The sequence below is a fragment of the Homo sapiens genome, chromosome 1, assembly GCF_000001405.40.
Source record: "Homo sapiens chromosome 1, GRCh38.p14 Primary Assembly".
NCBI classification, from domain to species: domain Eukaryota; kingdom Metazoa; phylum Chordata; class Mammalia; order Primates; family Hominidae; genus Homo; species Homo sapiens.
Window position 1 is genome coordinate 28,016,197 of NC_000001.11, and position 18,722 is coordinate 28,034,918.

Genomic DNA, 18,722 nt, shown 5'->3' on the forward strand with positions numbered 1-18,722 from the left:
TACACAGGTGGGAACTCAATAAATATTTGTGGACTAAAAGAATAAACAAGGCTGGGCGCGGTGGCTCACACCTGTAATCCCAGCACTTTGGGAGGCCAAGGCGGGTGCGGTTCACTCTAAGTCAGGAGTTTGAGACCAGCCTGGCCAACATGTGAAACCTCATCTCTACTAAAAACACAAAAATTAGCTGGGCATGGTGGCACATGACTATAGTTCCAGCTACTCAGGAGGCTGAGGCAGGATAATCACTTGAACCTGAGAGGCAGAGGTTGCAGTGAGCCAAGATCGCACCACTGTACTCCAGCCTGGGCGACAGAGTGAGTGAGACTCCATCTTAAAAAAAAAAAAAAAAAAAGCAAAACCAGTATAATAACCAGAATAGTAATGTTAACTGTAGCCAGGAAAAGATCCAAGGAGACAGTGGTGATGATAATTGCTGTAGAGAAAACAAATCAAAACAAAAATAAAAAACTCTAGAACACTGAAGGTGTTACCAGTGATCTCCTAAGCATAGTTAACATAACAGTGATCAAGAATAGACCACAAAAAATTCATAAAGAATGAGTTGTTCATTCCATAAATATTTATCAAGTGCCTTTGATGTAAGTGGCAGGCATTTTTCTATACTCTGGGAATATGTAAATGAACAAAACAGAAAAATAAATCCCTACCTTCATGCAGCTTACATTCTAGTAGGGGCAGAGTAGGAAGTGAAGACAAATACAGTAAAGAAACAGACATAACCATATTCTAGAGAGACCCAGCAGAGGAACAACAAAAACTAGACAGTAACCTAAGATGCCATCCAGGGTCCGAGTTCTGAAGGTATCCAGAAAAAAGTCTCCACAGCCCATACTATTCCTGGTTGTTTCTTAGATAGGCAAATTGACCATGGAAAGAAGAAAGAGCAAGCTGGATGAACTCTATCAAACAGGATGAACAAAGGTAGCATCATACCTGGTTTGAGATGCTGGCTACTGCTGCTGCTGGAATATTGGCAATTGTAGAAGAAGTAGATATCAGGCTGGCATTTGTGCTTGAAGCTAGAGGATTGATGGGGTTAAAAGATATTAAAGATATTATGTAAAAGGTTAGAAGAAACTGAAAATAGATGTGTTTTAAGTGAACAGATTTATAAGGAGATAAACAACATTGGCAAAGGAAACAAACACTCGTTTTGCTTTTTTGTGTGGGATAGCTACATTTACACTTGGTTAAAAACAAAACATTTGAAACATCTTTCTGTTTCAACTTGAGTCTTCAATTCTTCTTATTAAAGGCCTAAAAGGATATATATTCAATTCACAGCTCATACTAATAATATCAATGAAATCACAGCTAAATCCAATTCCTCCAGCCCATCTTCTCCAGAGGCTGAAAAATGACTCACCTGCAATGTGACCTACTGTAAAGCAGTAGAACTCTGGTAAATCTTACACTGTGATATTGTTTGCTGTCACTTGCCCCAAGTTACGCCTTTCCTAATACAACATAATTACATGAGAAATAGAGCTGGTCCTCCAAATTCCAAAGCATTTAGAATTGCTTCTTGAGTTCTACTCAAATAATAGATTACTAATGTGGATCAATAAACACAATGACATAGCATTTAGAGACTTTAACAATGAGCCTGGAAAAACTCAGAAAATATTAAATATTACTCTGGTCAGATAAAAATGTACCTTATATGATACTTGGGCTGTCTTAAGTAATTTGAGGCCAGGTGTGGTGGCTCATGCCTGTATCCCAGCACTTTCGGAGGCCGAGGCAGGCAGATCATTTGAGGCCAGGAGTTTGAGACCAGCCTTGCCAACGTGGTGAAACCCCATCTCTACTAAAAATATAAAAATGAACTGGGTATGGTGGGCACGGGCCTGTAATCCCAGTTACTCAGGAGGCTGAGACATGAGAATCGCTTGAACTCAGGAAGTGGAGGTTGCAATGAGCCAAAATCGCATGACTGCACTACAGCCTGGGTGACAGAGCAAGACTCTGTCTCAAAAAAAAAGAAAAGAAAAAAGAAAAAAAAGAAAGAAAATGCTGATTTCCATTCACATAAAACAATAAAAATAAAGACAAGTAATTTGGGTTAAGTTTTATACTTCTTCTGTCATAGGTTCATTCTACTAGGGTTTTAATCAAAATCTCAATGACTAGCACTAACCAGTGACTTTTCTCAGGTGAACAATGTAACTGATATTATCAGTACTGTTCTCAAACTCCTTGTCCTCATTTATCATAAACACACTTAGACATGGTTCCTACTGCAGGTACACACACCATATGGGTTCACCATCAGGTAGACCTGACTAACTGACTACCTGCCCCATTAACAAAGTCCCCCAGAGAGAAAATTAGTAAGAAAACTTCCATTGAGAACAGGGCAGGAGAACAAATGCAATAGAAACTTAAGTGCTCTGGTCAAAATTAGATAATTTTCATCCCTTTCCCTAAGGGTACTCGGCTTAGAAGACAATCCAGAAGACAGTAAGTTCAGTTACAGCTATTGCTGCAACCCCAGCTTTAAGATGAAGAACCTAGGACAAAGAAGAATTAAAGTAACTTGTCCACAGCAGCAAAAATAATGGAAGATAACCAAAATGACAACTTGGATCTCCCAATTCTTCATCCAGTGCTTCTTCCTCAGGGTCAGCAGCTAAGCTAGGGTTCAAATTCCCTAACTATGGCCAGGTGCGTGGTGGCTCACGCCTGTAACCCCAGCACTTTGGGAGCCTGAAGTGGGTGGATCACCTGAGGTCAAGAGTTTGAGACCAGCCTAGCCAACATGATGAAACCCCATCTCCACTAAAAATACAAAAATTAACCAGGTGTGATGGTGTGCACCTGTAATCCCAGCTATGCAGGAGGCTGAGGCAGGAGAATCACTTAAACTCGGGAGGCAGAGGTTGCAGTGAGCTGAGATCGCGCCACTGCACTCCAGCCTGGGCGACAGAGTGACTCAGTCTCAAAAAATAAATTAAAAAAAATTAAAACAACAAAAACAAAAACAAATTTCCTAACTATCCAGAGTAACTTTATTTTCTATAGCACGTTTTGCTTCAGGGGAACTAAAGGACTCTTAAGGGCTTACTTTCCTAAACATAACAACTAAATGAAATAGGTTTTATAGCTTTACAGAAGGTATTTTCTTTCAACCAATATTCACCTTCTTTCCTACTGTGGCTTAAGCCATCCTTTTTCCTAAGAGGAAGCATCAAAACATGACAATATACAGGGTAACTGACTCTGTAAATGGTTTTAACCATTCTTGTAGGAAAAGAATTTTGAATGGTTTCCAGATTTTGTTATCAGTACATTATCCTAGGCAGGCCTGCAATAAAACTGAACACAGGTGATTTAAGGTGGGAAATAAAATAAAGAATTGATTTAATCATTTATCTTCCCCAGCAAGTCCATTTTTAGTTCAGTTTTCTTCTGGCCCTGGTCCTGGCATACAATCCTCTTTTTCACCTATTGATCTTTAATTCTGTCCTACCTTCTCCATATCCTTTTTTTCTTTTTTTTGAGATGAGTATCACTCTTGTTGCCCAGGCTAGAGTGCAATGGTAGTCTCGGCTCACTGCAACCTCCGCCTCCCGGGTTCAAGAATCCTCCTGCCTCAGTTTCCCAGGTAGCTGAGATTACAGACATGCACCACCAAGCCCGGCTAATGCTGCATTTTTTTTAGTAGAGATGGGTTTCACCATGTTGGTCAGGGTGGTCTTGAACACCTGACCTCAGGTGATCCACCCACCTCAGCCTCCCAAAGTGCTGGGATTACAGGCATGAGCCACCACGCCCGGCTACTTCTCCATAACTTAATAATGGTGGGAGGTACAACTCAGTCATATCTGATCTCTATGGGGGAAAATGTACTCTGATTGACAAGGTGGTTTTACAAATCTAACAATTTTCAAACCACTTAATGAATTGTACTGGAGGTAAAATGGTAGACCTTAAAAACAACTAGCCATAAACTCTTATTATATCCCGGCTAGAAAGTTTAATGGCTTGATTAGCTAGTTGATAACTCTGAGTTTTTAACAAGTACTGTATTAAAATCACAAATTTCTCTGAGCAATAGTTGGCTTTTATTATAGGGGAACTTGGTCTGCTGACCCAGAAAGTTCATAGGGCTTAATAACACTTTTTTCTCCAACTAAGCCAAATTATTTCTAACATGTGCCACTCATTCATTCAGCAAACCCATTAAGTATATCAGGGTCAACTATGTGCCTAGAAACCATTTCAGCCACTGAAGGATAAAATAGTAAGACAAAGTCCTGGCCCTCAAGGAGTTTAAATTCTAGTGAGGGAAGTTAGTCAATAATTAAGTAATTTTTTTAGGCTCTTATAACCACCATAGAACCCAAGGCAAACTCGCCTAAAAATGTATACAACCACTGCCTGCCCTACCCCACATACAGCTATGACTAAAAAGCCAGGCACTTTTAAAAAAATACAGATCATCGTGTGTGTGTGTGTGTGTGTGTGTGTGTGTGTGTGTGTGTGTGTGTGTGAATAAAAATAATATTCAATTGCAGGTTTAAAAACAAAAGCAGCAACAATGAACTATGCAACAAAAACTACAAATTTAGAGAATCAAATAAAACTCAAGTGCTGGCTCCTATTATTATGTATCTAAAGGCTGCTAGCTCTCCAAATGCTAATGGCATGGTCAACTGTTTTTGGACAGCCTTCACTCCTGTTTTGACAATGGAGCTGCAAAAACTTGAAAGACACCACTTTTGAGAACCAGGCCCCACTAGATGTCCGCTTAAAACAGACAATATACAGATAAAGCTTTGAACAGAAGACCACGGTTACAGAATGGTAAGTGGCACAGCTGCACCAAGTGATAGTGCTACAAAGTTAAAAGTTTAATTCAAGCATTAATGGCACATAAAAGTTTGTGCAAGATTTAGTTTTTACCCACCTCTCTAATTTTAGATCATGTCACTTCACCTCCTTTGCTCACACTGTCTTTCTTTAAGTTACTCAAAACCGGACAAGCTCTTTATCATTTGAGGACTTTTGCAATATTGTTCTCTCTGCCTAGACTGTTCTCTCCAACCCCCTTGCCTTCCCAGCATGATGGCTCCTCAGCATGACTCACTTCCTCAAAGAGGGTCTTTTTGACCTATTAAAACCAAGACCTTTTCTGTTTTCTTAATCACAGTGATCAATTTTTTTTTCAGAGCACTGTTCAAAATCTGTTATGTATTTACTCACTTGTTTTCTCCCCCGCACCCCACTAGTCTGTAAGCTCCAAAAAGGCAGAATCCTGCTGTCTTATAATCTCCAGCATCTAGCAAAGCACCTGACATACAGCAGGTGATGGTCAATAAATATTTGTGGGATTCATATACATCTATCTTGTGTGCACTAAGTGTGAAGGGCAAAATCATTCTTCTTTTTTTTTTTTTAGATGCACTCTCACTCTGTCACCCCGGCTGGAGTGCAGTGGTATGATCTTGGCTCACTGCAACCTCTGCCTCCCTGGTTCAGGCGATTCTCGTGCCTCAGCCTCCCCGAGTAGCTGGGATTACAGGTGCCTGACACTACTCCCAACTAATTTTTGTATTTTTAGTAGAAACGGGGTTTCACCATGTTGGTCAGGCTGGTCTCAAACTCCTGACCTCAAGTGATCTGCCCACCTCAGCCTCTCAAAGTGCTGGGATTACAGGCATGAGCCACCGCGCCCAGCCTAAAATCATTATTTTCTGCTAAAGGCTGACAGGTGGGTTCCTAAAACTTACTCTCATTATGTGACTAATATAACTGACAATTCCTGATCCAGTAGAAGCTGTACATATTTTGGTTAAAACTGATTGCCTAAGTGGGTCATTCGTTCACTTAATCCTTTATCAAATATTTATTGAGTGCCTACTATGTGCAAGCACTGCTCCACACAAGGAGCTTAGTAAATCAAAATAATAAAAATCTCCTAATAAAAGATTATTATTTTTTGAGACAGAGTCTCGCTCTGTCGCCCAGGCTGGAGTGCAGTGGCGCGATCTCGACTCACTGCAAGCTCCGCCTCCTGGGTTCACACCATTCTCCTGCCTCAGCCTCCCAAGTAGCTGGGACTACAAGCACCCACCACCACACCCAGATAATTTTTTGTATTTTTAGTAGAGACAGGATTTCACCATGTTAGCCAGGATGGTCTCGATCTCCTGACCTCGTGATCTGCCTGCATCCACCTCCCAAAGTGCTGGGATTACAGGTATGAGCCACCGCGCCCGGCCTAAAAGATTCTCATTGCTGGAGTGGAGATTTTCAGATCAATAAGGGACAGGGTTTAGAATGATCTATGTAATAATGGATCAGAGCTCAAGAAATCAGTAAGAATTCATGTTTAACTCAACACAGATACAGATTACGACATACAGAAATATTTATAGATATGTGTATTTACATAGGTTAGTATACCTACATATATTTGTTTGCTCTGTCAGCTGAGAAAGCCTAAAATAAATGTCACCTGACACCTCAGTAGCAATTAGCACCCCTCAAGCTCAGATCTTTTTTTTGAGACAGGGTCTCACTCTGTTACCCAGGCTGGAGTTCAGTGGTGCGATCACAGCTCACTGAGGCCTCGACCTCCTAAGGCTCAGGCGATCCTCCCACCTCAGCCTCCCCAAGTAGCTGGGACTACAGGCACGCACCACTGCACTTGGCTAATTTTTATATTTTTTGTAGAGATGGGGTTTTGCCTTGTTGCCCAGGCTGGAAGCCCAAATCTTGGTTTTGAATACCATTTTTTCCAATAAAAGGAACCAGGATTCCTTAAAAAAAATGGTTGATAATAGGACTTGAATAAGTAATATACAAGATGAGCCTGGAGCATCTTGTAGTGCCAGGAAGTAAGAAAGTGCTGGGTGGGGGGGGGGGGGAAAACCAAAAACTAAAAAAATGGGAGTATGTCAAAAGGCATAGGAGCCAACTGAAAGAGCTCCCAGTGGCCAAACTGGAACAAAATAAATAAAGTAGTATTGGATTATAACCCAAAGTATAAATTAAATATCTAGGAGTCCACAAAAAAATGACTGAATAAATCAACAAACTGGGGAGAAGAGACAAATCTGGGCAGAAGAATTCCAAATACATTATGTAGATATTCTACCCTAAAGAAGGGGCAGCATGATTCCTTAACTGTGGGCTGTACATAGTGAATTCTATCTAAAGAATACAGTACAGAAAGGGAGGAAAGAGTAACTTTATGGAGAAAACTGACAAACACTACTTCAATTAGGTAATCAAGGTCAACATCAACAGTCATAAATAATGATGATAGTATGGCACCTTGCCTTTGTGACCTTCCTCCTTAAAATCCATAACCCCAGCGTAATAATGAGAAAAACATCAGATAAATTCTCTAAGAGTGGGGCATCTTAAAATATACCTGGACCAGTACTCCTCAAAACTGTCAAGGTCATTAAAAGCAAGGAAAAGCCTGAGAAACTACAAAGTCTAGAAGAGCCTAAGGAGACATAACTAAATGTAATTTGGTATCCTGGATGGAATCCCGGAACAGAACAAGGACATCATATAAAAACACAGGAAATCTGAATAAACAACGGACTTAGTTAATAATAACATACTAATACTGGTTCACTAATTGTAACAAGTGTAATATACTAACGTAAGATGTTAATAATGGGAAACTGTGCAGGAGGAGGGATATATGGGAACTCTCTGTACTGTCTGCTCAACTTTTCTGTAAATCTAAAATTATTAATAAAAAATAAAGTCTAGGCCAGGCGCGGTGGCTCACACCTGTCATCTCAACAGTTTGGGAAGCCGAGGCAGGCGGATCACTTGAGGTGAGGAGTTTGAGACCAGCCTGGCCAACATGGTGAAACCCCATCTCTACTAAACATACAAAAATTAGTCAGGCATGGTGGCATGTGCCTGTAATCCCAGCTACTCAGGAGGCTGAGGCAGAAGATGCGCTTAAACTCGGGAGGTGGAGGTTGTATTAAGCTGAGATCACGCCACTGCACTCCAGCCTGGGTGACAGAGCAAGACTCCGTCTCAAAAAACAACAAACAAGCAAACAAACAAAAACATCTATTAATAAAAATTTTTTTAAAAATCTCCTGGTCAGAGATAGATTATTGTGTGTTACCAATGATACTAGAGTACAAAGACACTCATTAAAAGATTGAATTAGGCTGGGCGCAGTGGCTCATGCCTGTAATCCCAGCACTTTGGGAGGCCGAAGCAGGTGGATCACTTGAGGTCAGGAATTCGAGACCAGACTGGCCAACATGATGAAACCCTGTCTCTACTAAAAATACAAAAATTAGCTGGGCGTGGTGGTGGGTGCCTCTAATCCCAGCTACACGGGAGGCTGAGGCACAAGAATCCCTTGAACCCAGGAGGCAAAGGTTGTAGTGAGCCGAGAGCATGCCACTGCACTCCAGCCTGGGCGACAGAGCAAGACTCAGTCTCAAAATATATATATAATTAAAATTAATTTTGAAATTTCTGAAATTAATTTTGCCACTTGAATATTATTTAACCAATTAAAACATCTCAGCTGAAGAAAATGACCAAAGATAGGGCCACATAGTCACAAGATACTCTAGGAAAAGGATGATACTACAGAAGTCAGATCTACTCATTCAAAACATTTTTATGAGCAAACAAAGGCAGTCTCTTCTCATTATGGTACCACTGAAGTACAAACTAAAGAAAAGGTTCTGCTTAGAGTTAATCAAGCCAGAAGCAGATTAGGTTTTTGAGATAATTTCCCTAACTCCCCCAGGGAGGATGGGCTGCTGTCAACTGCAGAATGCTTGGGGTGTTTTGAACACTTAAAAAAATTGGGTAGTTATGCAGGGGGAAAGAAACAGCCCTGGATAGCTAACATTCACTATCCATGCTAAAAGGAAAGGGAAAAGTAGGAGCGAGGAGAGTAATATTGATAGTGGTGAACTTAAGTAATTTAATACCAATAATACCCACGTTTCATTTTAGCCCATTGTTTTCCTAACAATTTTTTCATCAGAATAAATGGCAAAAATTGATAACTTAATGGTTAACTTCTGCCTTAATTTCTACCCTGTGCTAATGAACAATAAAATGGGCCAATAGATTAACCACAAAAAGGGAGGAGAAGTGAATTTAGATATTTGTTAGCAAAGGTTCTCAATTATGGGAGAGTTGATATTGATACTATGACCTCAATACTGAAAAGCATAAATATTGTACTCATGCTCTGGAGTCAGAATGCCCAGCTAATGTCCTGCCTTAATTATTTGCTAATACTGTGACTATGGATAAGCTACTTAGCTTTTCTGTGCCTCAGGCTCTCCCTCTCTAAAATGAGGTTTGGGTTGTTGTGAGGATTACGTGTGCAACATCTATCCACTGCTTAGAAAAATGTCAAGAGCACAGTAAGCACTTCATAAATACCTGCAATTGTCATTAATAGCAAAATGAAGGAAACCGGGTTAGCCAATCCAAAGGAAAAAATGTTCTAACAGATAACAAATAAGAATGGTGGTTAGTGAAGTTTAAGGGATATTTTCATGACTCTTCCATTTTTTTAAATTTCTATTTATTTTTTTGAGACAGAGTCTCACTCTTGTTGCTCAGGCTGGAGTACAATGGCACAGTCTCGGCTCACTGCAACCTCCGCCTCACAGGTTCAAGCGATTCTCATACCTCGGCCTCCCGAGTAGCTGGGATACAGGCATGCGCCACCACACCCGGCTACTTTTGTATTTTTAGTAGAGACGGGGTTTCTCCATGTTGGTCAGGCTGGTCTCCAACTCCCAACCTCAGGTGATCCGCCTGCCTCGGCCTCCCAAAGTGCTAGGATTACAGGCGTGAGCCACCACGCCCAGCCTCATGACTCTTAAAGCAATGGGTCCTAACAGACCCCAAAGAGGTGATTCCTCTTGTTTTACAAGGGAGAAATAAGCACAGCTATCACATTCCTCAAATTCTAGACATAACTACAGAGGAATGGTGGTTTTACATTTTGGTAGAGCATTAAGAGAACCCTTGGTCTTCTTTCACAACCTAGGTGTAAGTTATCAGATATACCTGTTTAGAAGAGACTTGGCAACTAGACTTACCTGTGGTTGAACCCAAAAGGCCTATCAACATAGAGAAATACTAGGCCAGGTGTGGTGGCTCACATCTATAATTTCAACACTTTGGGAAGCTGGGGTGGGAGGATTGCTGGAGCCCAGGAGTTCAAGACCAGCCTGGGCAATATAGTGAGATCCCACCTCTAAAAAAATATAGAATACATTAGCTGGGTGTGGTGGTGTGCACCTGCAGTCCCAGCTACTGGAGAGGCTGAGGTGAGAGGATCACTTTAGCCCGGAAGGTGAAGGCTGCAGTGAGCCATGATCGCGCCACTGCATTCCAGCTGGGCAACAGAGTGAGACTCTGTCACAAAACAAAACAAAAAACCATAGAGAAATACTCTATAAAAATGAAAGGGAGTGGTGGAGAAGACAGGCAAAGCCATTCTTTCAAGTTTCTCCCTCCTGGTTTGTTCCCATCTTAGAAAGAAAGAAGGGGGAGAGGACAAGGGGAGAAAAAAAAAAAAGAAGAGGAAACAAGTGAAGAAAAGAGGAGACTTGGTAAACAACAGGAGGTAAAGGTAGCTCAGAGTAAGGTCTCAGAACATAGAGACCAGTTCTGTTTCCACTAGACCAAGGAGAAGTAGTTTTCAAACATTTCTGAAAACAGTTAAAACTGAAAATCAAAATCTAATTAACCTATATTAAAACTTTTTTTCATCACCAAAGTTTATACATTAAGAGTACTTCAGATAGGTTTTTGAGGTCCCATACTAATCCCTCTACTATCTATTTTATAAGAAATAAAATTTAAAAGCTGGGAAATATCAGGAGAAAAGAGGCAGATGAGAAGCCAGGTACAAGGATACTAGTCCCAGTCTGAAGCAATGACAAATTGCCTGCCCTGGATTTGGAAGAATAGGCAATTAACTCCATAGTGCCTTTTGAGTTTTTTGTTTTCTTTCCTAATAGTCCTGTCATAATTCTAACTCTGTTAGAGGAAGAACTTGGAAGGTAAAGATGTTTAGAGCTTAAGCTTTAATACTATGCTTTTTATCCTGAAAGAGAAATAAGAATGAACTTCTTGAGCAAGAGAAATGCTCTCATCAAGTAGTAAATGGGGTATAAGTGTGACAAAAGACACAGCAGAAAAGCAGCACACACCTCACATACTGCTATGACAATTCATACAGGTCAGCAAAATTCCAACCCATGGAGTCTTCTGCTCATTTATAGGACAAAATGCCACTGAAAATAGACTAGAACAAAATCAAGGCGTTTTCTGGACACCAACATGCAAAAGGGAAGGCTTCAATTCTATTAAGCAGCTCACATTCAAAGGCTAAACTACTTATAAACCACACTCCTAAGCTGTGGTTTGCCTAACACAAAAAGCATGCACAAATCCAAGTATCACCCCCTTTCTACTTTAGAAGACAGAGCTCCTGTATTATCCAATTTGTTTGTTTGGAGATACAGGTAGATTAAAAACAAGAAACAATAATAATAATTTTAAAACACACACACAACCATGCCTATTTACCTTGAATGGGATAAGAATAATGTGCTGGGCTTGGCTGGCTTGTGGTTAACCCTGTAGTGCAGGTAAGAACACTGTGTTGACTTGGAGATGGAGTCTGAATTAAACCACTTTCAGGTTTCATACCTGGCCACAATGCACCTGAATCAGATAAATTGGACCAATTACAAACAATACACTGGGACTGAGGAGCATGGTTATGCTTTCAAATATCAGCCAGTAGGTTTAAAATCTAAATCTTAAAACAAAAATAAATTTGCTTGTAAGAGAAAATTATTGAATCTCCCACTTGTAATATATCACAAGCAAATAACACTTTCAAAGAATTAGGGGATGAGGCTAAAGAAACAAAAAGCTTGCCACAAATCCCAATATGTATATAAATTCATTTCAATGACTGGGGGAAATTGACCAGGATTCAGAAAAAAAGAGTTATTGACACCCAACTGGAGTATCTGTTATAAAGAGTGCCTGATGTTCATGTACAGTGATAAATAATTTATCCAAACTGTCAAGGTAGGAGACATTCCATATAAGTTTAAAATTCACTTACCCATTAAACAAGGACCAAATTTTTCTAAAATATATTAAATACTTCTCTGCCTTCTTAAGCTGGTTATTTTGTTACTTTTGTTTCTTCCGATTAGGAAAGACATACCTGCTTATTTTTATAAATTAAAAACATTACAGAAATACATAATTTAGAAAAAAAATACAGTCATATATAATCCCATCATCCAGACTTAACCACTATTAACAGTTTGCAGAAGAGTCACCCAGATGATTTCTTCTTCTTCTTTTTTTTTTTTTTAAATAAGATAGGGTTTTGCTTTGTTGCCCAGGCTGGTCTTGAACTCCAGGCCTCAAGCGATACTTTTGCCCCAGCCTCCTTTAGTGCTGGGATTATAGGCATGAGCCACTACACTCAGTCCAGATTTCTTCTATGTATTCACTAATCTTCTTTTTAACAAAAATGGGATTGTGATTTTTTGTTGTTGTTGTTGTTGTTAAGAGACAGGGTCTTCCTCTGTCACCTAGGCTCAAATAATCCTCATGCCTCAGCTACAGGAGTAGCTGAGACTATGGGTGTGTGCCACCATACTTGACTAATTTTTTGTAGAGGTGGGGTCTTGCTATGTCGCCCAGGCCAGTCTTGAACTCCTGGCCTCAAGCAATCCTCCACCTTGGCTTTTTAAAGTGTTGGGATTACAGGCATGAGCCACTGCCAGCCAAGGACTGTGTTATACATAGTGTACATAATTTGCTTTTCCACATAATACCTCTAAGATTCATCTTTCCAAGTCAGAACATATAAATCTATCTCATACTGACAAACATCATAGCTGTTCATTTTTATTTTCTTTTTATCATAATGCTCCTGAGTAACAATCTTTCTAAAATATATTTATATCCCTTCCTGCCTTCTGAGCAAGGAGGAAATAGCACACATACCTTTAGATTTTCTCAGTTACTGTTTCAAAAATAAAAACTGTGCTGTGCTACATATATTACAGAGATACCGCAGAGGCTACTGTGATGTGTAAAGACAATTGTTTAGTACTAAATATAACTTAATTATAGTTCTGATTTTTAGGTTCTAATTTCACTGTTTTTCCTCTGTGGTCTGTCACTTCTTGACTTCCTTAGCAGTATCTGCCTTTTAATTTGCAATAAACTAGGCAACCATAAACAAAGCTTTGCATCTGCATGAGAGTCCAAGGATATTCTTTATGAGTGAAACACTCTTAAGTGCATGGTTTTGGTGATAATTTTGGCTACACAAAAGCCTACTTTTAAAAAGAAAATCCTTTTTTTTTTTTTTTTGAGATGGAGTTTCGCTCTTGTTGCCCAGGCTAGAGTGCAGTGGCACGATGATCTCAGCTCATTGCAATCTCCTCCTCCCGGGTTCAAGCGACTCTCCTGCCTCAGCCTCCCTAGTAGCTGGGATTACAGGTATGTACCACCATGCCTGGCTAATTTTGTATTTTTAGTAAAGATGGGGTTTCACTATGTTGGTCAGGCTGGTCTCGAACTCCTGACCTCAGGAGTTCCACCCACCTCAGCCTCCCAAAGTGTTGGGATTACAGGCACAAGCCACCATGCCAGGCCCCAAAAATCTTAATGCCTGGTTGTTCACTGTGTTCTGAATAGCTATGGTTACTGGGTTAGTGTAGTTGAAGCTGATAATTAGGTCTAAGAAGGTTCATCAACCAAACACATTCCATGTATGATATCAATACTAAGGTTAGCCATGACTTCAAACTCAACATTAACTCATCTCATTTATTTGCTCCTACTCTGATAAACTAGGAGTGATTGAATTTATAGCCAATGAACACATATATGCAATTAAAAATACAATACTTTGAGAATGAGAACCTCTGCTTCACCAGGGCACTGAGATACTTCAGTGCAACTCAGATTTGTCCAATTTGTTGATAAGTACATTTAGGAATAGTAAAGAGAAATATGAAAGTCTTAAAAAGACCAACAGTGGGATATGATAATCACTTCTTAATTTTTTTGAGACAAGGTCTTGCTCTGTTGCCCAGGCTGGAGGGCAGTGGTGCAATCATAGCTCACTGCAGCCTCAACCTCCTGGGATCAAGGGATCCTCCTGCCTCAAACCCCCGAATAGCTGGGACCACAGGCACACTACGCCTGGCTACTTTTTGTATTTTTGCAGAGACAAGGTTTTGTCATATTGCCTAGGCTGGTTTCAAACTCCTAGCCTTAAATGATCCTCCTGCCTTGACCTCCCAAAGTGCTGGGATTATAGGTATGGGTCACCGTGCCTGGCTTTGCCCCAAACTCTTAATGCATAAAAAGAAAATGTAATATTCTTTTCTCATCTATTAATCACATGAAATAACTTATTTTAAGAGACTGAGGAATACTGACATCGCTAGCATGAATTAGAAGCGTTTGCCCCATCATAATTCATGATCATTTAAATGTCTTGTCCAGATTAGCCATAATTAAGATTCTTGCCATGTCTGATTTTCAACAATAAAAATATTTGAGAATGTCATTTTTAAAACATTTATGATGTAAAATGTGAGTATCAGTGCTATGATTCCTGCTGATTGTATATCACACTTTTTGGTAAACAAATTGCTATTTCAATGTCACAATAACTTTCAGATTTATTGTCATCACTGTGATTTCTTTTTCCAAATAGGTTTTGACCCTAAGGTGGTAGATTTATAAACATGTTTATTTTTACACTATATGAAAATAATACCTTATTAATAACAATAGTATCAACTGAGAATGTTTTGATAGTCTCCCTCTTATAAGATCAAAAATTAGAACACAAATGTCCAAAATAAGTAGGAGATAGCTAGCTAGTTTTGAATATCTTTGGCCAGAAACATAAAGTAGATGTCTAATATATAATTATTTTATGAGGAATAAAAAACAATACAGACAGTACCTCCAGCATCACTGTAGACCTGGCTCTTCAGACATGCAAATCATCTTCCTCTAAAAGCAACCCTCCCAGAATTCCAGATAATAGGCAGCATGATCCAATGGTTTGACTCCACAGCACTATTGCTCATAGTAAACAAGGAAACCAAACCCTAATTACAGGACTCCCAGTCCACTGCTCTATGCCAACAACTACCAAGTTTCTCAAGTACTTTTAAGCATCAAGAGCCTGCTGCAGAGAAACTGTCAAGCTAACAATGGGTAAGTAAGTCTGTCTCTGAGTGCCTTCCTGATGCCCCCAGAATGGGGTCTTATCACAAACTCTACCCAAGTTTCTCAGCACAAGTACTTCACTATTGATTAGTCACTATCCAAACTAATCTCATCAGTTCAATTTATAGTAACTCGTATAGTGCTCTTTAGAGATTAGTCTGGTGAGGAACTGAAGTACACACCAATGCTAGAAAAAGCACATGAAAGGATATTTTGGCTTGTTGATTCAGCAGCTCATTTGGATAGGCTATTATAAATAGTAAGTAATTTAATGTAAGTACTTTTCCTGATTATAAACAAAGTATATGTATATATTTTTTAAAACGTCTGTAGGAAAAACAGCCACTTTTTTTGCTTCCAATTATTCTTTACGCACATTTTTTTTTTCTTTTTAGAGGCAAGGTCTCACTACATTGTCCACGCCGGAGTGCAGTGGCTATTCACAGGCATGATCCCACTACTGATCAGCAATGGGGTTTTAACCTGCTGTTTCTAACCTGGGCCAGTTCACCCTTCCTTAGGCAACCTGGCGGTCCCCCACCCCCAGGAGGTCACCACATTGATGCTGAACTTAGTGAAGATACCCAATCAGCATAGCGCACTACAGCCCAGGACTCCTGGGCTCAAGCGATCCTCCTACCTCAGTCTCCCAAGTAGCTGGAACTACAGGCATGCACTACCGCACCTGGCTATACACATATTTTTAAAAATACTAAATTGGTATTACAACATTGTGTTTTTGCTATTACATATTGCTTTTTTCAATTAATAATACACTGTTTTCTCAAGACCCTAAATATTTTTTAAGAAGATGATTTATAATGGCTATGCAGCAGCCATATACAATTTAACACATACCTTAATATTCAAGTTTTAGGTTTTCAGTTTTTTCATATTATAAATAATGCTTCAATGAGTATGTTGGTCAGCACATTTTTGTGGGTATCTCTAATTAGTTCCATAGGATACATTCCCAGAAGTGAAATTACTGAGGGAAATGAAATGAACATCCTTAAGGCTCTTAATGCATATCACCCACTCCTCCAACTCACATTAAAGTTCTTTTAAAAGAAATCAGAACAGTGGCACCTAAAGGCATATTTTATAACTCCCACTAACATTAAACAAGTACCCTTTTCCTTACACATACTCCTTCAGATTCCTAGAAGTTAAACTTCTAATCCCCTTTCTGCCATCCCACCCCATTTGTATACAGCTCTGGGAAGAATATGATCAGTATTTCTTTACTTTAAAAGATTACTCATCATATAGCCTTCTTAGATTTCTTCTAGTCTTTTCTCCTTTCTTCAAGAGGAGGAAGCTTTTTAATTTCAAACTCAACTCTGAGACCATCTTTTTGATATAGACCTAAAGTTATGAGCACTTCTAGAATGAAACAATCCTGGGTTCAATTATAATCCCAGGCTTTTACTAATTGTATGAACTTTGGGCACATGATTTAACTCTGCTTCTCCCCTATAAAAAGGGATAAAGCTAGCTTACCTCTTAGGGCTGTTCTGAGGATTACATGAGACAATACTATACAGCGTGAAATACTTATTCTTAGTATACAGCTTATTATAGTAAATAATAGAGACAAGGTAATATTATTATAATGAATTTTTCTGAAGCCCTATTTGCATCTGAAATAAAACGAATTAGCTAATCTGAAAACAGGCAGCACTAAGATGACACAATGTATCAAAATCTTGATTTCGAAAGAAAGAAATCAAGTGTTTTCTCCTACTTAATTTAACACATTACCAAAAAAAGCCACATGATAAAACACAAGAAAACATCTTTTCAAAATACAGTCACTTTTAAAAGTTTTACAAACCTCTCTTATAATTTCTCTGGTAAATTCTGAGAATATGCCATCTCTATCATTCACATTACCCCAACCAAAATCTCTCTCCAGTAAGTCTCATACATTACTTAAAGTCAAATTTAAGCTAATGATTATCTCTTTCTGAATTACTGATAGAAGAAATTGGGAAACACAAGTCTTCCTTGCCCTCAAATATTAAACAAAACCAGATTATTAAAGGAGCCTATTATTAACAATATTACCAGCATACAATATAAACATGTATCCTTCAAGGTTTTAATAGAGATCTATTTACTTTACAGAATTTTTTTCTTTTTTAATGTATTATTATTATTATTATTATTATTATTATTTTTGAGACAGTCTTGCTCTGTCGCCCAGGCTGGAGTGCAGTGGCACCATCTCGGCTCACTGCAACTTCTGTCTCCCAGGTTCGAGTGATTCTCATGCCTCAGCCTCCTGAGTAGCTGGGATTACAGGTGCCCACCACCATGCCCGGCTAATTTTTTTTTTGTATTTTTAATAGAAACAGGGTTTCACCATGTTGGCTAGGCTGGTCTCGAACTCCCGGCCTCAAGAGATCTGCCCAAACGGGGCCGGGCGTGGTGGCTCATGCCTGTAATCCCAGCATTTTGGCAGGCCAAGCTGGGCAGATCACTTGAGGCCAGGAGTTTGAGACCAGCTGGCCAAAATGGTGAAACCCTGTCTCTACTAAAATACAAAAATTAGGCAGGCTTGGTGGTGCACACAGCGAGACTCTGTCTCAAAATAATAATAATAATAGTTTAAGGGAAATATAGTGATCATTTAAAAAATTAATTATATCTAGGATCCATATGCACACAGAATTATCTGAGGTATTCCATAAATCATGCTCAGAGATGTAATAGGAGTTGTATTTAATATTGAACAGCAGGAATGATCAACTGTTGTAAAGGGCTAATAATAATAATTCAAATCAAAACAGAAGATTTAAAAAACTGTAATTTAAAAATTATAATTGCTAGCCTATTATTAGTCAACTGTTGAAAAATCAGCTTTAAATAACCAAAAAGAAATAAACACAAACATATTCACAGAGGGGTCTTTCAAAAGGTCCATTCAGTGTTGGCTGGTTAATCATATCATAAATATAAGATCTGAGTACCCTGGCTGGTACTAACAGGCATGGAAACATGGATATACAAATGGGGAAACAAGAAAATTTGTTTCCCATTTCATATGAAGTTATCAACCCCACTATTATTAAACATAATTCCCAATTCTTATTTCTAGCAGTTACCAGGAGCCAAAGAATTCTAACAAGCCTAAAAGTAAGAAAGCTGCCAATATCATAAAAGAGTAGCCAAACAGGTCAGGAGAAACAGGAATGCAGAAACTAGATGCAGGTACATTAATACATCCAGAATCTGTGTGGTCATCTGTCTGGAAAATTTTTCTAATTCGTAGCTTGATTAAATAAAGCCTATAGAAATATAATTTTGTTACATATTACATATTTTTAAATAATATAGTATTCTTTTAATTTTCTGGCACCCATTTCAGGAAAGCAGGGAAGGAGCAATGAAGCACACTGCATTTACACACATAGAAAAATAAG

The 18,722-nt window shown here is 39.0% G+C and overlaps 1 protein-coding gene and 1 pseudogene across 17 annotated transcripts in view; both read right to left on the reverse strand.

The window, feature by feature from the left end:
* The window catches only part of EYA3 (EYA transcriptional coactivator and phosphatase 3), a 118,267-nt gene that overhangs the window by 45,853 nt on the left and 53,692 nt on the right, over positions 1–18,722 (reverse strand). For 11 of the 17 annotated variants that reach the window (NR_104214.2, XR_007096080.1, NM_001282562.2 and 8 more), the window contains 2 exons: positions 11,593–11,730; positions 958–1,043 (listed from right to left, as the gene is read on the reverse strand). Coding sequence is in view for 15 of the 17 variants with exons in the window: in NM_001282562.2 (NP_001269491.1) it covers positions 958–1,043; positions 11,593–11,730 (224 nt within the window). In the remaining 2 variants the exon portion in view is untranslated. The remainder of the gene's footprint in view (positions 1–957; positions 1,044–11,592; positions 11,731–18,722) is intronic. The other 6 variants (NM_001282561.2, XM_011541004.3, XM_047449420.1 and 3 more) reach the window with 1 other exon arrangement.
* RN7SL559P (RNA, 7SL, cytoplasmic 559, pseudogene) lies at positions 15,688–15,984 on the reverse strand (annotated as a pseudogene).